The 24,636-nt window shown below is 46.7% G+C and overlaps 1 protein-coding gene and 1 long non-coding RNA gene across 4 annotated transcripts in view, besides 2 other annotated features; both read right to left on the bottom strand.

The window, feature by feature from the left end:
• Positions 1-24,636, bottom strand: part of EPN2 (epsin 2) — a 99,350-nt gene that overhangs the window by 62,137 nt on the left and 12,577 nt on the right. The window lies entirely within an intron of this gene.
• EPN2-IT1 (EPN2 intronic transcript 1) lies at positions 191-3,186 on the bottom strand. The gene is made up of 3 exons (NR_046824.1): positions 2,841-3,186; positions 1,304-1,445; positions 191-528 (listed from the first exon to the last, which is right to left on the bottom strand). It is a non-coding gene; the product is annotated as an EPN2 intronic transcript 1 (long non-coding RNA).
• Positions 3,384-3,473: an enhancer, noted in NCBI's record as "active region_11851". NCBI's record gives its function as "activates an Ori minimal core promoter by ATAC-STARR-seq in GM12878 lymphoblastoid cells {active_cell/tissue: GM12878}" and the evidence as "EXISTENCE:reporter gene assay evidence [ECO:0000049][PMID:35858748]".
• Positions 3,484-3,753: an enhancer, noted in NCBI's record as "active region_11850". NCBI's record gives its function as "activates an Ori minimal core promoter by ATAC-STARR-seq in GM12878 lymphoblastoid cells {active_cell/tissue: GM12878}" and the evidence as "EXISTENCE:reporter gene assay evidence [ECO:0000049][PMID:35858748]".

Raw genomic sequence — 24,636 nt, 5'->3', positions numbered from 1 at the left:
CAGCCATCATTGAAGATCACGCTCGGCTGTCAGGGAGCTGTCTTTCCACTCCCCTCCCCAAACCTAACAATCACAGGTCAATCAACATTGTGAAAACCCAGTCCCAATCAATAAATACGGGTGAATTAATTGACCTGAACATCTTCACCTCAGATGGTAGCTCCACCTATGTATGTCTGGCAGCCTCCTATGTTTCTACATGTACTTTATTTTTCTAAAAGCAGATGACAGAGAATGCTTGGGAAAGGGGTACACCCCACCTTTCCCACAGTGTTCCACCAGTGTGGTCCATCAACCAGATACATCAGAACTTCCTGGGAGTCTGTTCAAAAATCCAGTCATTCTGGGGGCAGAGCTGAGGGGGTGCCACTCTCTTAAGCCCCCATGGTGATTTCTAGGCATGCTGGAGTCAGTGTCATGGTGTCCACTGCAGGACACCTGAATGTGTGCAATACTCCGCAATCCTCAATTCACTGGCTTTATCTTTCCTGAGGTGCAGTCCACGAGTGAGGAAACATCTCCATCTTCCTACCGGAGAAAAGGGTACAACGATCATTACAAGGAGGCCCAGTTGGGGTAGCTGAGACCACAGACCACATGACCAAACCACACGGGCTCTCCAGAAGACAACAGGCCAGTTAGGACAATATGGACAGTGCTACATTCTTTTCAACAGTCATCATTTCAGCCAAAAGAGAAAAGACTATTATGACTCTGTTTCAGCCACGCTAGCAATAACTTAAAGCCTAATAACTGTTGCTCATCCCGTAGAGAAATGAAAAGAAAAAAATCCTTTATTTCCCTCATACCAGAAAAACAGTGAGATTCAGCCAAAAAATAAACATCTTCACTAACTGAAAGTGGGCATCTATATTCTGATGACTTCTTGTTGGTTAGAGAAATCAAATTTTATATCAGCTGGGCAGGGTGCTACACACTTGTTTCCCAGCTACTCAGAAGGCTGAGGCAGGAGGATCACTTGAGCCCAGGAGTTCAAATCTAGCCTGGACAACCTAGCAAGACCCTGTCTATAAAAATGAATAGTTTTTTTTTTAATAAAAAATTTATCAGTCTCCAAAAACTGGGCTAAAAAACCTTTATACTCATATACTTAAAGAATTTTGAAGAAAAACAAACATTTCAGACTTGACTTCTAGACAGTAGAGCAGGAAAAGGTAAACTGCCCATGTGCTTACTTGTCTCCCCTGGGACTTTCTTCTAAGGAAGAAAGATCCCTGCAGGTGTCAGTTAACCTACTGCCAAAGGGGAGCCAGGAAGGGCTGACTGCATAGGAAGAACCAACCTCTAAAAAAAAGGCTGAGCAGACCCACAGAATGGCCACTTTATTTGCAGGACGAGATGACCAGGCAGAGGCTCCTGAAGGGGAGTAGGAGGTCCACCCTCAAGAAGCCACCTAGGCAGCTTCTCCCAGGATCTGAGAGCCACTGGAACAGACACAGCAGAGCTCAAATTAGATGTCACTTGGCCTCCTAGAACTTGATATGTACTCAATTTTCTAAAAGCAGAAAGCAAGTACCAAAACATACACAAGGAATTTAATTTCTTGTTATCAACATGCCCTTATCATTTAGTCTCTGGGAGGAGCAGCCTGTGGGTGTAGAATACATGGGCAGGTGAGGAAATGCAGTCTTTTTAAAGACTGTGTGAAGAAAAGATGGGGTCTGGAGACCTGGTTTTGGCTGTTCCTGCCAATCCAGGAAAACAGGGGTATGGCAAGGAGCTGCACCTCCCCCTCAGTGTAGAGGATCAAACACTGTGACAGCACAAAGTGCAGGCAGCAACACTCCATAAAGGCAAATGAGAATTGTTGAATGCTCCCCTACCTCTCCTATTCCTCAAAGCAGTCTTACAAATGACCAAATTATGAACAGCATTCTTTTAAAAATCATGCCAAAATGCAAATAACATGATGTGGTAGTGAGAGGAGATGGGAATCCAGGGATCAGGGCCAATGCTGCGACCGCTCTGTAGCACCAAGAAGCCAGTACCCAGGGTCCTCGCTTCTAAAATGATGGAATTAAACCAGATGCTCACCCCAAATCCTTCAGTCCCAAAGGCCCCCATTCTGACCAGTGATTCAATTCCCTGCCATCTCCATGGTGTCATGAGAAACCCAAGCTTCTGATCAGCCCAGCCACAGGTCACCAACTGAGGGAGTAGAATTCCAGCCACAGCCAAGCAGCAGACGTTTTTGTTAGTCTGTGGGGCTTCATGGTGGGCAAAAAACTAGGGCTTCCCTTCAGCCTTTGGAAATGTGAAAAGCAGCCTTCAGAACCCTTCCCTCCTCTGAGGATGGCCGCTGTGACCCTTAGGCAGAGATTCCCCATTTCTCACACACTGTGGCTGTGCTAGAGAAAACACTGGCTGATGGGAGACGATGAAGCCAACCAGAGACTGGGTGCAGTGAACGGGAGCCTTTGATGGCTACTCACCCCCACCCCACAGGACAGGCCGAGCTATGGACTACCATTTGATCAGCATAATTTTCCAGCTTGAGACATCTGAAAAACATGCAGAGCTGCATGGGAAAATCTACATTCCCATGATCTCGTGTTTAATTTAGACCTGGCTGGTGGATGTGGTGGTGCTAACTGCTGGGCTGTCGCCATCTCGCGAGGAGCCTGCGAGAGTGTGGAAATAAAGGAGGGGCAGTGGATCCCCTCAGGCAGGGCCTGCTGACTTTGGGTTTCGGGCACAGTAGTGATGTAACATATTTTCTCAAAGAGAGCTCCAGATGCTGGCCAAGGAACAGGTATTTTTACACTGTGCATGTACAAGTGCAAGACCACAGCTGTGAGAAAAACAAGCGGTTTGCTCACCTCTGCCTTCCCACCTGTGCCTCCAGGAGGTCACATCTAACTCTTTCCATAGTAGCTTCAGAGGAACACGGTAGATTTCTGAACAATGCAGATTTCTGAGGGAGTTACTTGCAGGGACTGGTGGTAGTGATGGTTGATGTCCGCTGAGCCTCATCTAAGCAGCACTGCGGGATGGGCAGTGAGCCAGGATCTTAGAGACCACAAGAGCAGGCTCACCTTAGCTGAAGCTCAAAGGATGAGCTCCTTCATCCCAAAGGTGGGCTCTGGGGCAGAGCAATCCCTGAGGGTTAACTCTTTATGTGCCACCCACATGCTGCACTCTCATTTCCAGTCACTTTCCCTATGACCGGAAGTGGCTCCTGCCTTGCATTCTATGCACCTGCCATTTCCCCCACCCAGCGTCCTTCCTCTATCTGTCACTAGACTGGCTCCTTGTCACTCAGATCGCATGGCCTCCTCAGAACCCATCAGGCACTCTCTATCAACGTCACCAGCTGTCATCTGGAACAGAGCCCCTCCTCTATCTGACATTTCTTATGTGCCTGTTTATCTGTTTCTCTCCTGCCCCCACACCACCCCCCTGAGACCAAGGCCCAGCCTCTTTGCCACTGTCTAGAACAGTGCCTGGCACACACTCAGCCCTCAACAAACACCTTCCATGTGACACAGAAGCAAAAAATAAGAACACTGTTAAAGATACCCATTATCTCTCTACTCAGAGACTGCCAGAGTTCACACCTTGAGGCTGTTCTCCCAGTTCCTGTTTCCCTTTCGGTCTCCATTTCTTGAGTTAAAGGGCAAGTGCTGTATTGTCTGCCTAACAATAAACTGCCTGGGAACAGGAACAGCCCTACCAGGTGCTTAACACATGCTCCACACGAACCAGCACCTGCCGAAGCCCAGGCACCACGGGGCCTGAGAATCCACTCGATGCCCCTTACAGCTGGACTCAGGAGCGACACCAGCAGCCTGGGCAGCAGCCTAGGGCTGAAATATGTAGTTCTCACTCCGGCCACAGGGATTATGTCCTGCCTTTCCAGCTGCATGGTCCGAGGCAAGCTGAGCTTTCCTGAGCCTCTATTTCCACACCTCTCAAATAGAGGTAACAGGTGCTGCTCAGCATGGCTGTGAGGGTTGGTAAGAGTACGACTGGCAAATAAGAGGTGTCCAAATACCTGCCTCCTCTACTGTGTCCTGCCAAGGTGCAATGTCCACAGGGACATTTCTCAGCAGGTTCCTAAGGACAGCTCGGCAGGAGATGAAAGCCTACAGAGGCATCCCTATGAGAACACACTGGGTGGGAATCACCTACCAGAGGGGTGGGTGGCATTGTCCACAAGCATCTCTCTCTAGACTATACACACAACCTGTTCAAAACCATCAACAATCTTGCCTGCCCTTCTCCTCTGCAGCTGGCATTTCCAAGCAAAGTCTCAGATGTGCTCTTTGATACTAGTAACAGAACAGAATTAAAAGAGCAGTAAGAAACAGAAGGGGCTCTCTAAGAAGAGGCTAGTGAATACTAACTGAGCAGGTCACATGTGTCCACTGATGGCATCTTCATAACAATCCTATGGAGGAGTTATTCTTCTTATTCATATCTTACAGAGGAGGAAAAGTGAAGCAAAGAGAGGCTAAGTAACTGACCCAAGGCTGCACTGCCAGCAAGAGGTGGGACTAGGATTTGCTCTCAGACTCTGACTTCTGATCCCATCCTCTTAATCCCTATTCTTATTCTCATTCTTTGTAGCTTTAGACAAATTCAGTGCTCAAAATCGTAAGAACAAGAAACTTTCCTTTGCTGAATCTGCAGGCCTACAAAGGTCCCTCTTGTCTAGATGTTTGAGGCCAAAAGATGGCATGGAAACAACTGTTTTCCAGCCTCATGTTTTGTGGGCCATAATGGATCCTTTCCCCAGTCTCTCACCAAGTCAAACAAGCAGGAGCAAAGATGCTACAGCTAGAAGGGCCTTGGAAGTCAACCACGTGTAGATGCCAGGACCCAGAGCCATTCAGTGCTAAGCCAGGACAGAACCTGGCATTCCCAGCTCCCTTCAGTGCAGCCAGCAAAAGGGAAGAGGCTTTAACGCTATTCAAAGAAACTTTTACCTTGAAATGTGGAAGGTTCTACACGCTGGCAATACAATGGAGTCAGTCAGGGTGGAGGTCCAAAATAACAACACAGAGACTCTAAAACTATTCCTAAAAACGTGTTCTTCAGAACTCACATCCTCAAGAAATGATGCCTCTTTGGCTATTAACAGTGTCTTCTACTAAATCAGTCACACCGACTTTAACACCCTGAGAAACCTGCACTGTTCCTTTGAAATAGCTGTTGTCATCTGAAATACCACTCAGGAAAAAGAGTCTCTTCATGTTGAAAGGTAAACTTCCTTTTTTGGTGCAGAGTAAAAATATTACTTCCCTCTTTCCTCCTCTGCTGGAGACATTCCCAGTGTTTTATTTACTGTGCAACACTGACTGGATATATTAGGAGGAAATGTTCCTTCCCAACTCTTCAATGTCAGAGTCTACCCCACAAAAGGTATGAGCCAGCCCTAATGTTTTCTTGTTGTTCTTCTGTTTTCTTAAATGTTTTATTATGTAACATTAGGTACATATAAGAGAATATGTGCAAACCACATGTGAGGACAAATAAAATAAGTCCCCATGACTCCACAGTCCCCTCAAGGCCTGGAACATGACCACCATGTCCAGCCACCTGGCTCCCCTCACTTCCCTCTCCCCACCTCCTTGACCTCTAAGGCAAACAGCCCTGGTATTGGGTTTTCAGTCCCTCACTTTTTAAAAAAGAACATAATTGTATCACACACTAGTAAAACTGAACAGTATGCAGTCTTCCCCAGCCTGCCTGTGGCATTCTATACTGCTTCTGAGGTTCTCTCTGTTGTTATGCACAGCTAGCTGACACTCACCCACTGTCACCGCTGTGTACCATGTGATCATGCCAATATTTAACCATGTGCCTACCCGTGTTCCTGTCCATGGATATCTGGGTTATTTCCAGATTTTTGCTACTGTGAAAAGTGCTTCTATAGCCATGCATGTCTCCTGGGACACGTGGGTCAGCTTTTTCTAGAGTCTGTTCCTAGAACAGCTCATTCATAAGATATACAAACTCTGCAATATATTTTTAAAATATTTTTGCCTGATTTATAACATCGTTTTGTCATTATAAAGATGTACTAAGGCCAGGTGTGGTGGCTCACGCCTATAATCCCAACACTTCTGGGAGTGCGAGACTGAGATGGAGGATCGCCTGAGCCCAGGAGTTTGAGGCTGCAGTGAGCCATGATCATGCCACTATACTTCAGCCTGGACGACAGAGCAAGACCCTGCCTCAAAAAAAAAGATGTATTCATAGTTTAGTTGACACAGGTTTGCCAAGTATTTTTCACACACTCACTGTGTGACCAGATCCCCATGCCAGCAGCTACAGGGGATCTGAACAAGCACAGATGTGGCACCCTGTCTAGACTGGGGGAGCAACAAAACACTGCAACTGGGTGCTCCAGGCAGCTCCTGAGAAGACAAGGACAAGACTTGGGGCCATCAAGGGCACTGCAATGAAGAATGAGAGGGATGAGTGCCTGAGTATGGAAGAGGAGGCCTCTGCGGGCAGAGTGAGAACCCTCAGGGAGACACACCTGCCACTAAGGTAGCTGGGAATGCAGAGGCTGCGGCAGGCTGAGGCTGCACCAACAGGGCCTCACTAGGCACACAAGAAATCTGCACTTGCCAAATTGAGTTGTTCACCTTCAAGATTTTTGCCATCTCTTCTCAATAGTAACAATGACTAACACTTACAGAGCACCCACTATGTGCAAGCACTGTCCCGGGAATTAGCCCATTCAAATCCTTACTATAAAAGCTGATTGGCCGGACGCGGTGGCTCCTGCCTGTAATCCCGGCACTTTGGGAGGCTGAGGTGGGTGGATCACGAGGTCAGGAGTTCGAGACCAGCCTGACCAACATGGTGAAACCCCATCTCTATTAAAAATACAAAAATTAGCCGGGTGTGGTAATGCGCACCTGTAATCCCAGCTACTCAGGAGGCTAAGGCAGGAGAATCGCTTGAACCCGGGAGGCAGAGGTTGCAGTGAGCTGAGATTGTGCCATTGCATTCCAGCCTGGGCGACAGAGTGGAACTCTGTCTTTTTTTAAAAAAAAAAAAAAAGCTGCTCTACTGCTTGCTTCATATTTTTCTTCACATCAACTTACTTTTAAATTCAAATACTCACTTTAAGTAACATATACGAAGTCAGGTATTACTGCTATGGCATATGGGGGGATCTTTTTGTTTTGTTTCTATTGAGATATAATTCACATAGCATTAAATTCACTATTTTAAAGTATACGATTCAACGGGGTTTTTTTTTAGTATATTCACAATGTTGTGCAATCATCACTATTTCACTATTATTCCAAAACATTTTCAACACTCCAAAATTAAGCCCAACATCCATTAGTGGTCACCACACACGTCCTCACTCCCAGCCCCTGGCAATGACAAATCTACTCCCTATGGATTTCCCTATTCTGGACATTTCACACAAATGAAATAATATGTGAACATTTAGGCCGGGCGCAGTGGCTCACGCCTGTCATCCCAGCACTTTGGGAGGCCGAGGCAGGCGGATCACAAGGTCAGGAGATCGAGACCATCCTGGCTAACACGGGGAAACCCCGTCTCTACTAAAAATACAAAAAATTAGCCAGGCGTGGTGGCTATCTCGATCTCCTGACCTCGTGATCCGTCTGCCTCAGCCTCCCAAAGTGCTGGGATTACAGGCCTGAGCCACCGTGCCCGGCAGGTTCAGTGTTTTCAAGGTTCATCCGTGTTGCATTATGTACCAGTATTCTATTACTTTTTATGGCTAAATAATGTTCCTTTGTAAAGATGGACCACATTTTGTTTACCCATTCATCAGTTGATGGACATTTGGGTTGTTACTAATTTTTTTGGCTATCATGCCATGAAGAATATTCATATATTCATATTCATAATGCTGAGATGGCCGGGCGTGGTGGCTTATGCCTGTAATCCCAGCACTTTGGGAGGCCGAGGCGGGCAGATCACGAGGTGAGGAGATCGAAACCATCCTGGCTAACACAGTGAAACCCCACCTCTACTAAAAATACAAAAAATTAGCCAGGCGTGGTAGCGGGCGCCTGTAGTCTCAGCTACTCCGGAGGCTGAGGCAGGAGAATGGCACGAACCCGGGAGGCGGAGCTTGCAGTGGGCCAAGATCGCGCCACTGCACTCCAGCCTGGGCGACAGAGCGAGACTCCGTCTCAAAAAAAAAAAAAAATAAAATAAATAATAATGTTGAGATGGACATCTATGGGGTGTTTGTGTGGACAAGTTTTCAGTTCTCCTGGGTATATACTGAGGAGTGAAGCTGCTGGGTCATATGGTAACTACACGTTTAACTTTTGAGGAACTGCCAAAATACTATGGCATTTCTAAGACAAAGATTAAAACTAAGAACATTCAACTGTATGCCACTTAAAATTATGTTGGGAAATACTGGGGAAGGCAAAGCTACTAAGGTTGATTTTTTATTTTTGTTTGGAGCAGGGAACTCACGTCTTCAGGATGGTATTTCTGAATCTTGATCAAGCAGCAGTGGGAGAAAGGATTAGGGCAGAGGCGGAAGTAGGAAGACAGAAAGACGACTGAGAAGCCACACAACACAATGAGCAGAGTCCAGAGCCTGAATCCAGCTGCGGGGGAATGGGAAAGGAAGGTGATGGACATAAACAGAGTGGAAACATGAACCCTGATGACCAAATGTCAGTGTGGGTGGGGTAGAAGGGGTGGAATAGCCAGGAGGACGGAGTCACCCTTAACAGAAAGGGAAGGTGGAGAGGTTCCAGACGAAGGCAGGAGGCAGCATACTTAGTTTTATTTCAAACAAACATGGCTGGAGGTGCTGGCAGGACAGGCCTGGAGGAGAATGAAAATGGCCTAGTGGAGCTGGTGCCCAGGACCAGGGCACAGGAGGGGCACTGTGGCCAACATGTTCATCTCAGAGGAGCAGGTGAGAGGCATAAGGGAGAGAGAGAGAGCAGAGGAAGATGGGGACAAGAATGCAATTAAGGAGGAGGCAAGTAGACATCGGCCAAGTCCAAGAAAGGGCCAAGAGCAGGGCAGGGACACAAGAGAACCATCCAGTGCCAGGGAAGCAGAGAATGAAGAGATCATGCCTTTCTGCCCCATGCAGAGCAGTGCATGCTTGGGAAGTGTCTTCACCTTCTAATGACCACCAACGAATAGTTCAGACACCTTTGTGTGAGACCGCATGTAACTTCCTAGACGTTCTTTTTTTTTTTTTTCCTGAGAAAGGGTCTCACTGTCACCCAAGATGGAGTACAGTAGCACAATCATAGCTGATTACAGCCTGGACCTCCCAGGCACAAGTGATTCTCTTACCTCAGTCTCCTAAGTACAGGTGTGCACCATCAAGCCCAGCTTATTATTTTTTGTAGAGATGGGGTTTCCCTATGTTGGCCAGGCTGGTCTCGAACTCCTGGGCTCAAGCAATCCTCCTGTCTCGGCATCCCAAAGTGCTGAGATTGTAAGTGTGAGCCACCATGCCTGGCCACCGGACCTTCTTGGTCACTGGTACACACCTCTGCACCATGCCACCTTCCCCTCCAGTTTCAGGACAAAACCGAACCTATCATCCCCAGCTCCACACCTGCCCCCTTCTCCTTCCCTCCAGGGATGCTCTGCCCAGGATCCACCACCTGCTGCCCAGCTGACTGAGCCAGAGGCCTTGGAGCTCGCCTGGGCTTCCGGCTTTCCCTCCACCCTCCTTCCTTCCTCCCACGACCTCTGGACTGCAGGCTCTCAAGGGACAGAGACCCCGACTGTCTCCTTGATGCTGCATGCTGGGCCTGGCACAGTGCCTGGCACACATCTGCTGCAAGAATGAATGACTCTACAGGGCACCGAGTCCAGCCCCACCTGCTCACACACTCCCCCCTTTCTCTCTCCCTTCCTCCAAGCTCTCTGATCCTCTCTACACCCTTACCAAACCACAAATGCCCTCACTGAACATAAAACATGGCCTATGAATATTGGTAAGTTTTAAAATAACTACCTGGCAGAATGAAAAGATCACTGCTCTACCCAGCACCTTTTAGTCACCTCACTGAATCTCAGTTTAGTTTCCTCATTTGTAAAATGGAAATGGCAGCCAGCGAGAATCAGCAAGATAAGGAACATGAGAGAGCTGTAGGAAATAAGGCTGCACTTTCTGCTTCACTACAGGTTTCCCCACATGCCTCACATGCTTTTGACGGGCCCTCTTCAGGTCCCACTGGTCCTTTGACCATGCCTCTCAAAGAAAAACAAAAATGGGAGCAAGCTGACATCCCAACAGGAGGGGAATTTTTTAGTTTACTTCGCACTAAATTTAACAGCATAAACAAACTGGAGTTCGCAAACCATATAATTTTTATAATTCCTAAAAGATTAGAAGTATGCTACCAAATGTCAAAACACAAAACCAAAAGGAAATCAAAGTTGTTATTTTCCTTTTGGTTTTATCTCCATTGGCCAAATGCTTTTTGTTCAAACAATGTTTACACTGCCATTGTCCTGCTTTGTTTAGAAAAATAATAATAAAGGGGCGCGTTTCCAGCACTGACAACTGGGTGCGTGTGCAGATCTGCCCAGCTGCTCCTAAACTCAGAAATCGCTCTACTTTAGAAACTTGTGCCGAGAGGCCAAGGAAGAACTGTTTACTTGCCCTCCAAATATACACTGGCTACATCCATGCCCCTAACCCCCCTTCTCGCTCCAGCCCCCCTCTTTCCTTCAGCCACCACAGGGAGGACCAGGCCAAGAAAACAGGGATGTTCTTCAGCATATTTATGCCTCACAAGGAAAACATAAGCCCAAGGCCTCAGGAAGGCCAGGTCTGGTGACTCAGTGACTGCAGACTCAGCTGCTGCTGGTCAAATGCACCAAGGTGACAGCTATAATTTACTGAATGCCTACCATGTGCCAGGCACTGACCCAGGGGTTTCATGGCACTGATCTTGCTGCACTTTTGCAAGGCAGGCATTACACAAGAGAGAGGATAACATACAGCAAATCACAGAACTGGGATGAAGCTCTCAGCCACAATGCCTCCTGTGAAACTCAGAAGTGCTCAATCCTAAACCTCCATTCTACTTATATTACTTCTATGTGGTTGCCCTTCTCTGTTCCAATATCATCATACCCATCTAAGACGCTCCTTGGAAGATGTGAGGTTTTTCCACCAACCAGCTTTCAAGGCCAACCCACGTAATTTCTATCCTGGAACTCCCTCCTTACTAGTGAACGCTTTCCGGAATGACTTGTCCAAACAAAACCACTCTCATGGGCCCCAGGGATGGGCCCCACTTCTCTTCTCTTCTAAAGTACTGATCCTAGTCACCAAGTATTTCCAGTTCACCCACTTCTAGGCCTATGACAGAAGTGCATTTTCCCACCTCCTCTGAAGTCAGCCATGGCACGGCAATGAGATGAGATAGAAATGATGTGTGTCACTCTCTGCTGAACAGTAAAAGGCAGGTGCCACATTCCCTGCGGTGGTGACAGTGGGTGCCTATGTCAGGATGGAGCCTCCTTATCTATCCAGAGACAGGAAAGCATGTCTACACAGGGACTCATGTACCATGTTCACAGCTGTGTTACTCACGACTGCCAAAGACTGGAAACAACTTTGTCCAATTGATGAACAGATCAACAACATGTGATCTATCCACACAATGGAATATTATTCAGCCTTAAAAAGGAAGTTCTGGCCCATTCTACCATATGGATGAACCTCGACAACATTACACTGAATGTAAGAAGCCAAACACAAAAGCCCACACACTGTATGACTCCATTTATGTGGAATGTCCAGAACAGGCAAATCCACAGAGACAGAAAGCAGACTGATAGTTGCCAGGGGCTGGAGAGAATGGGAGGGGAAATGACTGCTTAATGGGTACAGGGTTGCTTTTGGGGGTAATAAAATGTTCTAAAATAAGATTATGCTGATGGTGAACTTTATTGCAGTTGCCAGGGGCTGGAGAGAATGGGAGGGGAAATGACTGCTTAATGGGTACAGGGTTGCTTTTGGGGGTAATAAAATGTTCTAAAATAAGATTATGCTGATGGTGAACTTTATTGCATGGCAAATAAATTATGCATCAATAAAACTGTTTTTGTTTTGTTTTGTTTTGTTTTTGAGATGGAGTTTTAACGCTCCTGTTGCCCAGGCTGGAGTGCAGTGGTGTGATCTCGGCTCACGGCAACCTCCGCCTCCTGGGTCCAAGCGATTCTCCTGCCTCAGCCTCCTAAGTAGCTGGGATTACAGGCATGTGCCACTACACCCAGCTAATTTTGTATTTTTAGTAGAGACAGGGTTTCTCCATGTTGGTCAGGCTGGTCTTGAACTCCCGACCTCAGGTGGTCCGCCCGCCTTGGCCTCCCAAAGTGCTGGGATTGCAGGCATGAGCCACTGCACCTGGCCTGTTTTTTTTTAGATGGAGTCTTGCTCTGTTGCTCAGGCTGGAGTGCAGTGGCACAATCTCAGCTCATTGCAACCTCTGCCTCCTGGGTTCAAGCAATTCTCCTGCCTCAGCCTCCCAAGTAGCTGGGACTACAGGGATGCGCCACCATGCCTGGCTGATTTTTGTATTTTTAGTAGAGATGGGTTTCACCACGTTGGCCAGGCTGGTCTCGAACTCCTGACCTCAAGTGATACACCCACCTTGGCCTCCCAAAGTCCTGGGATTACAGGTGTGAGCCACCACTCCCAGCCAATAAAACTGTTAACAAAACAAAATAAGACAAAACAAAAAGCTTGTGCCACCATCATCCTAGGTTCATGAGTGACTATGAGTGAAGTCTCCTGACTACATACACTGGACATGCCCCATGAAAAAGAAATGAGCCTCTGCTGTTAGGCCACTGAGGTGAGAGGGTTGGCTGTTCTCACATCATGTAGCCCATCCTGATACACCTCAAACACATCCACGCTATCATAAGTTCATACCGAAAATGTGTCTAAGGCCAATTAACTTAAATCCTGGAAGGAAGCCAAAGGTGTGGTTCTGTCCCAAAGCCACTGTCCAAATCTTCAAACATAAGGAGATGGGGCAGAGGGAAGGGGAGGAATAGAATTATTTAAAGACTCTGCCTAGATCAGAATAATTCCTAGCCTGAAAAAAATTTATAACTCATAAGACAATGAACTAACCTTCCAAAAATATAAAAAACACCTTCAGAAATTGAGAAAAAACCAATAACCCAAGAGAAAAATCGAAGAACTGTCCACAGAAAACTATAAATGGTCCTTAAACATATGACAACATGATCAGCTCCTCTTCAGAAAAATACAAATTAAAACTATACTGAGATATTATTTACAAGTGTCAGGCTGGCAGAACTCCAAGCATTTGACTACACCTTGTGTTGACGAGTCAGTGGGGAATCAGGCATCAACACCGCCAGTGGGAGTGCAACATGGAACAAGCCCTGTAGAGGGCAACTGGGCAAAATCTGTCAAAATTACAACTGTGTTTCCTCTTTGACTCAGCAATGTGCCTGCGGGATGCCACCCTGCAGGACCACTGCAATGTGGGAAACGATGTGCACGTGAGACAACTGTCGCCGGCATGTCATGAAACAAGCTGGAAACAGCCAGGTGCCTTTCCTCAGGGGTGAGTATTCAAACAGGGACAACTTCACAGTGCAACACAGCTGAAAGAGAATGACAACCATTCTCCATGCACTGATATGGAAAAATCTCTACAATAAGTTAAAAAAAGCACAAGATGAAGAACAGTACACACAGAATGCTATCTTTCATTTACTGAAAAGGGAGAAATAATAATACACAATTTGTGTTTGCTGTACTTGCATTAAGAAAAACTAGAAGGGTATTCAAACTGCTACAGGTGGTTACCAGGGAGGAGGGAGGACAGAGATGAGATCAGGAGTGAGGGGCAAAATTTCTTAAAATATATTTTAATATATTTTCATTTTAGAAACGTGACTGTATTGCCTATTCAAAAGAGCATTTCATTAAAAAAAAAAAAAGTTCCATTCTCAAAAAAAAGAAAAAATACCAGAGCCACATCAAAGCCTTTGGCCAACAGGTCTCAGATGCCAGGGCCAAGAGCAGCCCAGGAGTGACCACCAGCCCAGGTCCACCTGTGTCCTTCCGCCACCAACCCGTGTAAGAGCCCATTACCAAGACCTGTGAAGCTGGAGGGCAGGGACCCTGCACCGTCCCGCGTCTGTCCCTTCCTTTCTGTGACTCTCTTCCAGGCCCCTCCAGCTTCACATTTGGAAGGCTATAAATGGCCTTTAATGCTTCCCCCACTGTCAATGCCCCCATCCAGCCTGCTATCCACTCAGTCTGGGTTTCCTTCCTCCTGGCCCTCTCCCATGGGCTGTCCAAAGCATCGTGCACAAATCCAGCACAGCCCTGTGTCCCTCCCATCATAAGGTAGCAGATTCAAGAAGGGAAGAACCAGAGCTCCTGGCATCCACTTGTGCAGCAAGTCCTTCCTCAGCTTCTGCTTTCCTGCTACCTGCCAGGCACTGGGCTGGTGCTGAAGGATGGAGGTCAACCTGACACAGTCCCTGTCTGCAGAGAGCTCCAGTGGCACAGTCCACAGGGAGTGTGGAAACATAATCCTACAGTGGAAGTCTAAAGGGCACAGGACAGCAGACTGGGCTTTTAGGCCAGCCATGGAGTGTGCAAGGGGGCAGACGAGGTGGGTATGCAACAGGCAAAGCACATTCCAAGCAAAATGAGGAAAAGCAAGTGAAGAAACGCCACAGGCCAAAGCAGTAAGGCAGAATACCCATGGTAAAGATAAAGAAGTCCGTCCCTTCCTCCGGGCATTTAGGAGCGAGGGGTCGCTCTCTCAAGGCCCATCTGCGAACAAAGTCCCATCCACCTTGCTCTAGGCACCCTTGGCCTTTTCCCTGGAACTAGGCAAGCCTGGCCTTCATTTAATCAGGGAACAGGGAGAGTGTAAAAGAGAAAAAAACAAAAACTGCAAGCAAAGATCAAAAGTTTTGACCCCTAAAGACCCAATACTCAGCCGGGCGCTGTGGCTCATGCCTGTAAACCCAGCACTTTGGGAGGCCGAGGCGGGCAGATCACAAGGTCAGGAGATTGAGACCATCCTGGCTAACACGGTGAAACCCCGTCTCTACTAAAAATACAAAAAGTTAGCCAGGCGTGGTGGCAGGCGCCTGTAGTGCCAGCTACTCAGGAGGCTGAGGCAGGAAAATGGTGTGAACCCGGGAGGTGGAGCTTGCAGTGAGCCGAGATCGTGCCACTGCACTCCAGCCTGGGTGACAGAATGAGACTCCATCTCAAAAAAAAAAAAAAAAAAAAAAGACCCAACACTCAAAAGATGCCAGATCAATAACCTACGACTCTCACATTTGACAAAAACAGCAGCAAAACCATGTTTCCCTATCACCAAAAGGAGAAACACCTGAAGCTAATGGATTCCAAATTGTATTTCCATAAGCCTTATAGGGCGGTTTTCAAAAAATCACAAATTTCCAAGACTTGATTCAGCAGCCGCTATGTTATATAATGAATTTTTTTCTTTGAAGGCAGATAATATTTGTTTCCCCATTCCAAATTATAAACTGATTTTTTCTTCCAAATGGAAAAAAGATTCCTTCACAGTAGCCTTTTAATTCTATCAAATGGATTTCTTAAATATCCACCAGTTGGTAATATGATGTGGCACACACATAGACTTCCAATGTGTATGGGCCACACACGTGGTGGGCCGTCGGCTAGACTCATTGACACAGCGGTCTCACCCCTGTGGCTGCACTCTTGTGGGAAGGCTGGGGTTGGCTCTGTGACCAGTCAGGTGGGCCTAACACCAGTGGGCAGGGAACCAGAGACCTTTCCCTGTGTGGGAACCCTGCTCACAGGGTCTCACAAACCGCGCTGTCCACACGCAGCATCGACGCCAAGGGCCCCCAGAAGGAAATTACTAGACACTGGCTAGACCCACAGCCTGGACTAGCTCTCTAGGTTAAATCACAGTTAGCTGCTGAGTCTCAGGCAAACACATTTCCTGAGGAATTGGCCTGTTTTCCCTTCTGAAAACTCCTGAAAAGAGAGGCAATAAACTGTGTGGAAAGAATATGCTGACACCCACTGCCAATTTCCCATTGTCAACCCAACCCAACCCAACGTCACCAAACGGAGAAGAATATGCTTAGAAACAACCAGATAGCTGCTGACAGGAATGCGACTCTCACCCAGGAAGGCAGAGTCTTAAAAGACAGAATCAAAGCACGCTGGCATTGGGAAGGACCTGGCGACCACTTAGTCCCACTCTCTCATTTATATCATAGATGGGGAGACTGAAGCCCAGAGAGCAGTAAGTGTTTCTGCCCCATTCTGGAAGCCTCTGAAGTGCACACAGGGCTAGCAGTTTTTGGTCCCATTGTCCAGCACTGAAATCATCTTCCTCACCAGACCAATTTTCTCCTCCACACTGTCTCAGCATCAGCATCAGCACCAGCACCAGCAGCCACCTGAGTCAGTGCTTATTCCTCTTCCCTCACCCACATCTAACTGGTTAACACGCCCTATAAGTCCAGCAAAGCCTCTCCCCTACTAGACAGCTCCCTCCTGGCCTCCCAAACCTCTGACGGGCTGCGGGACACCTACCACCTGGAACATGGGAGACTGGGACCAAAAGCTTCCTTGAATAGAAAACAAATCACAGGGGGCAGCTGACCTCTTCCCAGTATAGCCAGTCAAGGGAAAGCTCTGAGCCATCCCATGATGGCTACAGAGGTCATAAAGACCCCTGAGGACTAAACAAACACAATTTACCTAGAGAAAATAAACCGGGCTGGGTGTGGTGGCTCACACCTGTAATCCCAGCACTTTGGGAGGCCAAGGCGGGTGGATCACCTGAAGTCAAGAATTTGAGACCAGCCTGGTCAACATGCAAAAACCTGTCTCTACTAAAAATACAAAACATTAGCCAGGCATGGTGGCACATGCCTGTAGTCCCAGCTACTCGGGAGGTGGAGGCAGGAGAATCACTTGAACCCGGGAGGCGGCAGTTGCAGTGAGCCAAGATGGCACCATTGCATTCCAGCCTGGGTGACAGCAAGACCCCGTGTCAAAAAAAAAAAAAAGAGAGAGAGAGAGAGAAAATAAATCAAAATATTAACATTGATTACAGACCGAACTAGGACTTGACGTATAGGTCCTAAGGCTATAGGTCAAGTGCTAGTTTGGTCCATCCTACTTAGGCATACTTTCCGAATTTTCTCTGATGACCATTAAAACAGGCATTCCAAACAATCTCCATGGGACCTAGCACAAAAAAGAAACACAGCCTGCAAACACCATGTGGCATATATTCTGTTTTGGTAGACCTGACTTTTACACAGTCTTTGGAAACTACTGATTACCAGAGGGCAAAGGCAAAGAAGGGGGAAAAAGCAAGATTTTTGTTCAAAGACAAAATAGCTAAATGAAAATCTAGGGGGTTTTTTGGAGGGGGAAGGGAGAAATTAGGGTTTCATTTGCTTAAAGAAACATTTTTCTTCAAATGTTAAAATCTACCCAACACTTTGCAGTCAGATTACATAGTAATTTCTTGTGCGACTTGCTATTTTCTTCTACCAGTATTCTTTTAAATCAAGAAAGTCTGTGTTTTCTTTTGTAATTTCTTGTTTCTCTTTAAAGCAGGGACAGTGGGAATTTTTTTCTTTTTTAAAGCACAGGAAGGACCAGATTAGTTGCAAAGACCATGTTTTAAATGTTCTCTTTATTTGTCAAGTCTTCTCTGCAATCACATTATACAGCAAATAGGTATTAAGCACAAATCAGGCTCCAAGTGTGGGACTTGGGTCCTGAAAGGCCCAGAAGACCCTGTTACAAAGCTGTGCCACCATTAGACAGGCCCATGGACTTCACAGCTAAATTTTAAGTCACTCAGCTCCAGGAGCTGAGTCTCTCTCCTGTGGTTCTAGACAAGGAGAGGAGCCCCTCAGAGCTTTCCCACGGGGTGCCACCAGCCGAAAACCACTGGACGCTATATAATCCCCTTTACGAGGCTTCTCTGAGCTCATACCACTGGCCTTTGGTCCCTCTATCCTCCCAGACTCCATCCTTTTTGATTACTTATCCCTGCCTTGATGCTAAAAAGACATGAAATGGCCTAAAGCAGCAGTTCTCAAACCTGGCCACACATCCAAATTGTTAAGGAACTTTTTTTTTTTTTTTTTTTTTTTGAGACAGGGTCCTGCTATGTTGCCCAGACTGGCCTCAAACTTCTGGTCTCAAGCAATTCTCCCCTCTCAGCCTCCTGAGTAGCTGGGATAATGGGTGCAAGCCATCACGCCCAGCTTTTGGAGAATTTTGGAAACATTTTTGCTCAGGCCCCATCCCAGAACAATTACAACAGGAAGGACTGGGGCCAGGCGCGGTGGCTCATGCCTGTAATCCCAGCACTTTGGGAGGCCAAGGTGGGCAAATCACGAGGTCAGGAGATCGCGACCATCCTGGCTAACATGGTGAAACCCCGTCTCTACTAAAAATACAAAAAATTAGCCGGGCGTGGTGGCGGGCACCTGTAGTCCCAGCTACTCGGGAGGCTGAGGCAGGAGAATGGTATGAACCCAGGAGGCAGAGCTTGCAGTGAGCTGAGATCGCGCCCCTGCACTCCAGCCTGGGTAACAGACCAAGACTCCGTCTCAAAAAAAATAAATAAAAAATAAAAAACAGGAGGGATTGGGTTTGGTGACTCATGTCTGTAATACCAACACTTTGGGGGGCCGAGACAGAAGGATTGCTTAAAGCTAGGAGTTCAAGATCAGCCTGGGCAACAAAATGAGACCCTGTCTCTACAAATAAATAAATAATTAGCCACATGTGGTTGAATATGCCTGTAATCCCAACTACTCAGGAGGCTGAGGAGGGAAGACTGTTTGAGCCCAGGAGCTAGAGGCTACAGTGAGCTATGAGTGAGCCACCACACTCCAGCTGGGCAACAGAGCAAGACTCTTTGTCTCAAAAAAAATCAATCCAATCTATCAAACATAAGGGATGGGGGCCAAGCACTGGCACTTAAAAAAAAAAAAAAAAAAAAAACTCTCCCCAGAGGATGCTGATTAAGGTACAGTCAAAGTTGAGACTCACTGGGTTAAAGAAATCCAGAGAACACAAGAAAATAAATAAATAAATAAATAAATAAATAAATAAATAAATAAATAAAGTAAATGAAGAAACTCAAGCAATAAGGAAATAGGGGGTGGAGGAGTTGAGCCAGAAGGCCAGGTTAGAACCCAAAGTGCAGGTCACATTACAGCTAGGAAATGATGGCTCTGAACTGAGCTTCCTAGTGGCCAGAGAATTCACACTCTCCACAAGATAAAAAACAAACCAGATTCACTACAGAAGATTCTCCTTGTCCTGGGACCTGAGATAAATGCCTCCCTCACACCCTCCAAAAGAAGACATACAGCATGATGCGGCGGAGTATGCACCCCAACGCTGTGACCACATCCACCAAAGACGTGACACAGGCTACTTCTTACTGCATCTCTCAAAGCACAGTTCCACAGAAGTAGCCCTTGAGAAGGGTGCCCACCAGTCAGCACTTGGCCACTCATTAGAGGCTGCCCTCTAACTCCTAGCTGGAAACAAACTCTTAGCTGAAACCAATGCCCTGCACATGAAACACACCACCAAATCCACTTCACTTTCCACACTGACAACCATGCCATCACAACAATGCAAACGTAAGACAAAGGCACAGACTCTTTGCCTATGTCGCTGAGGTACATAAACAAAGACACAGACTTGGTATCCAGGAAAACAAGCTCCTTTGTCAATGACTCTCATGAAAACAGAAGTCTGTCCCTGTAACTCAGGAGTGGGGAAAAGTCCCAGAGGCTGTTGATCACCCACCTCCATTCCAGTGCTCAGAAAGGCCACTACTCATCCTCAAACCTCAAGACTAAGAAGGGTGGGGTTTGCCCATCAGACTACCAGTCTGTTAAGCAGGACTAATGGTCACCAGAAACAATCAGAAGAGGCCTCTAAGTCCCTTACATACTAACATTATATATAGTACAGTTTTCTGTTTTTGTTTTTGTTTTTGTTTTTTTTGAGACAGAGTCTCGCTCTGTCCCCCAAGATGGAGTGCGGTGGTGCGATCTTAGCTCACTGCAACCTCTGCCTCCTGGGTTCGAGGGATTCTCCTGCCTCAGCCTCCCGAGTAGCTGAGATTACAAGCATGCATCACCACGCCTGGCTAATTTTTGTATTTTTAGTAGAGACAGGTTTCACCATGTTGGCTAGGCTGGTCTGGAACTCCTGACCTCAAGTAATCCACCGGCCTTGGCCTCCCAAAGTGCTGGGATTACAGGCGTGAGCTCTGTTACATTTACTATACTTCAGTTATAAGTTCTCCTTCCTTCCTTTCCTTTCCTTTTTCCTTTCCTTCCTTTCCTTCCCTCCCTCCCTCCCTTCTTTCTTTTTTTCTTTCTTTCTCTTTCTCTCTCTCTCTCTTTCTTTTTAGACAGATTCTTGCTCTGTCGCCCAGGCTGGAGTACGGTGGCGTGATCATGGCTCACTGCTACCTCCGCCTCCTGGGTTCAAGTGATTCTCCTGCCTCAGCCTCCTGAGTAGCTGGGACCACAGATGTGCACCACCACACCTGGCTAATTTTGTATTTTCAGTAGAGACAGGGTTTTCACCATGTTGGCCAAGCTGGTCTCAAACTCCTGACCTCAAGTGATCCTGCCTCAGTCTCCCAAAGTGCTGGTATTACATGTATGAGCCACCACGACTGTTATAAGTTCTTTCAAAATGTGTTTATTGCAATAAATAGAGTCAAGAGCAGATCACTGTCTTGCCCTCTCACATGTGACATTTTCTTTTTGATCCAGGCAGCACATCACCATATTTCAAATTAAGCAATGACAAGTTAAATTAAAATGGCAACTATTGGCCAGGCACAGTGGCTCACACCTATAATCCCAACACTGTGGGAGGCTGAGGCAGGCGGATCACCTGAACCTAGAAGTTCGAGACCAGCCTGGGCAACACTGAAACATTGTCTCTACAAAAAATACAACAATTAGCCAGGCCTGTAGCCCCAGCTACTCAGGAGGCTGAGGTGGGAAGATCCCTTGAGCCCAGGAAGTCAAGGCTGCAGTGAGCCATGGTCACACCACTGCACTCCAGCCTGGGTGACAGAGTGAGACCCTGTATCAAAAAAAAAAAAAAAAAAAAAAGCAACTATTTACAATAGCCAAATGTGGAAACAACCCAAGTGTCCACCACTAAATAAATAAATTGTGGTATATCCATACAATGGAATATTATTTGGTCATAAAAAGGAATCAAGTTTGGATCCATGCTACAACATGGATGAACTTGGAAAACATACTAGGTGAAGGAAGCCAATACAAAAAGCCAGATATTGTATAACTGCATTTATATGAAATGTCCAGAATAGGCAAACCCCATAGAGACAGAAAGTAGGTTAACGGATACCAGGGGCTGGGGAAATTGAGGAGCAACTACCTAATGAGTATGGATTTTCTTTTGGAGTGATGAAAAAGTTCTGAAACTAGATAGTGGCACAACACTATAAATGTACCACATGCCACAGAATTGTTCACTTTTAAATCCTTAACATGGTGACTGGGTGTGGTGGCTCATGCCTATAACCCCAGCACTTTGGGAGGCCAACACAGGCAGGCAGATCTCTTGCACTCAGGAGTTCAAGACCAGTCTGGAGCAGGGAAACATGGTGAAACCCCATCTCTAAAAAAAATACAAAAAATTTGCCGGCGATGGTGACACGCACCTGTAGCCCCAGCTGCTCAGGAGGCTGAGGTGGGAGGATGGCTTGAGCCCAGGAGGCGGAGGTTGCGGTGAGCAGAGATCACACCACTGTACTCCAATCTGGGGCCAGAGCAAGACCCTATCTCAGTCAATCAATCAAGATTTTGTGTAAATATAATCATTATTCCACAATTTTAAAAAATCAGCTTCAAACACAGAAATATGAAAATCAGAATTAGGAAGGCTGGTGGTCAGTCTTCACTTAAAAATAAGTTTATAAAGAGTCCATTATCTGTTAGAGATATGTATTGAAGCATTTTCCAATAAAGTGAATACTGGGATTTGCTTTAAAATCATCTGAGGTAGGGGGAGCCTAGAATTAACTGTTAAAGCTAAGTGATGGGAGTTCACTAAATTATTCTATTTTTCTGTTTGAAATCCTCCATCATGAAATGTTTCATTTTGTTTTTAAGTAAGTTTCCAAAGATCTTTATCATTAATATACTCTGTAGATAAAATGACAGGCTGCCCTTAAGCTGTCAAACTCTGGTGGCTCAACCAGGTATGCTCCACACTGAGCCCAACAGTGTAGACTCACTCAATGCAGGCCCCTTCACAGAAGGCACACAAAAGGCCCCTCAGAAAACAATCAGAGCCCCAGTTCAGACCACCAGGCAGCAGTGCAGGGAGCTGTGCGGCCTAGTCTCTCTCACATTAGGTATCCCTAATGTGAAAATCCAAAATCCAAAATGTTCCAAAATCAGAAACTTCTTGAGCAGCAGCAACATGATACCACAAGTGGAAAACTCCACACCTGACTTCATGCAACGGGGTCACAATCAAAATGCAGTCAAATCTTTGTTTTGTACACAAACTTATTTAAAATATTATATAAAATTATCTTCAAGCTATGGGTGTAAGGTATACACAAAACATAAATGAATTTCACGTTTAGACTTGGGTTCCATCCCCAAGATATCTCATTATGCATATGCAAACACTGAAAAATCCAAAAAAGTCTACTATCTAAAAGATTTCTAGTCCCAAGCAGTTCAGACAAGGGATACTCAACCTGTATGATATCCAAGCTTCCAAGTTGCCTGCTCAACACTCAACTACCTGGCCGGGTGCAGTGGCTCACGCCTGTAATCCCAACACTTTGGGAAGCCAAGGTGGGCAGATCACCTGAGGTCAGCAGTTCAAAACCAGCCTGGCCAATATGGTGAAACCCTGTCTCTACTAAAAATACAAAAATTAGCCAGGAGTGGCGGCGTGCACCTCTAATCCCAGCTACTCAGGAGGCTGAGGCAAGAGGATCGCTTGAACCTGGGAGGCAGAGGTTGCAGTGAGCTGAGATTACACAACTGCACTTCTCAAAAAAAAAAAATTCAACTACAAGCTGGGGGTCCAGGCGATGTCTGCAAACTCAGGGATCTTCCACTGAAACGCTTTTAACAGAGCCCCACAAACAACCCCACCCAACACACAGTGCAAAGAGAGCTCACCTCCAGGCTTGGGAGCTGAAGGAAGCAAGATCCTGCCTCTCCAGATGCAGTAAGAAGCTGACACTGTGATTGCCTATCCATTTGTTTCCCCTATCCCTCTTCTAGAACTAGAGGTAGGGCAGGAGTCCCCATGGCATTCCCAATGTCTAGGAGAGTGCAAGGCACACAGATGTTCAACTACATGCTTGTTGTGTGATCCTGGTTTTTAATGGATATTGCTCTAAAGGTACACTATAAAGACTTGCTTTTCACAAACACCAATGCAAGACATAAAAGGGAAGGCATCAGAATGTACTAGTGTTGGGTGCCAGAAAAGGAGGGGACAAGAGACAAGGAATCATGGCACAAACAATCCCACCTAAAATAGCACCAGAGATGCTGCAGAATGTAGAGCCCTGGGTCAGAGAGAGAAGGGCACAGAGAGGAGGAGGGACAGTGTGTGCCAGGCAGAGGCAGAAGAGGCTTCAGGGAAAGGGTATAGAGGCAGTAAGTGAGGGGGGAGGTGCAGGGGGGCAAGTAGCAGGGTATGAACAGAAAGGTAGACAAACTCAGCCACCCTGCGTTGGGGATTCTGCCCTGACTGGACTCTGTGTAAGCCCCTGTGTCCCCAGAGCAGGGACCAGACAACCAGGGGAAATAAGCAGGCACCATGTGGAGGGTGGAAGTCTGTGGAGAACTGGCACCCGCAAGCCCCAACTAGAGATGGCGCCGACACTGGCTCTGACCCACTGTTACCAGGCAACAGTACAGGCCCCAGGCTGCCAAGTGTTCTGATTTGTCAATGAAGCTGCAAGACTAGGAGGCTATGTAAGATCTCCTGTTTTTAATATTGGCAACTATGACCAACAAATAGTGGCCTCCCAAAGATAACCACATCTTAACCTCAGAACCTGTGAATATGTTAGGTTTTGTGGCAAAGGAGAATTAAGGTAGCAGTTAGAATTTAAGTTTCTAGGCAGGGCATGGTGGTTCACGCCTGTAATCCCAGCACTTTGGGAGGCTGATACAGGCGGATCACTTGAGGTTAGGGGTTCGACACCAGCCTGGCCAACATGGTGAAACCCTATCTCTATTAAAAAATACAAAAATTAGCCAGGCATGGTCGCGCACACCTGTAATCCCAGCTACTCGGGAGGCTGAGGCAGGAGAATCCCTTGAACCAGGGAGGCGGAGGTTGCAGTGCGCCGAGATAGGCATCACTGCACTCCAGCCTAGGAGACAGAGAGAGGCTCCGTCTGAAAAAAAAAAAAAAATTCAGTTTCTAATCAGCTGACTTTAAAACATAGTATCCTGGATTATTCAGTGTGCCCAACGTAATCACAAGGATCCTTAAAAGTGGAAGTGGGAGGCAGAAGAGTCAGGGTCAGAGAGAAACCACGTGGGAAAGAGTGGAAAACCGCAGCTGGC

The sequence above is a fragment of the Homo sapiens genome, chromosome 17 (genome assembly GCF_000001405.40).
Source record: "Homo sapiens chromosome 17, GRCh38.p14 Primary Assembly".
NCBI lineage: Eukaryota > Metazoa > Chordata > Mammalia > Primates > Hominidae > Homo > Homo sapiens.
This window is presented reverse-complemented; position numbering and strand designations above follow the sequence as displayed.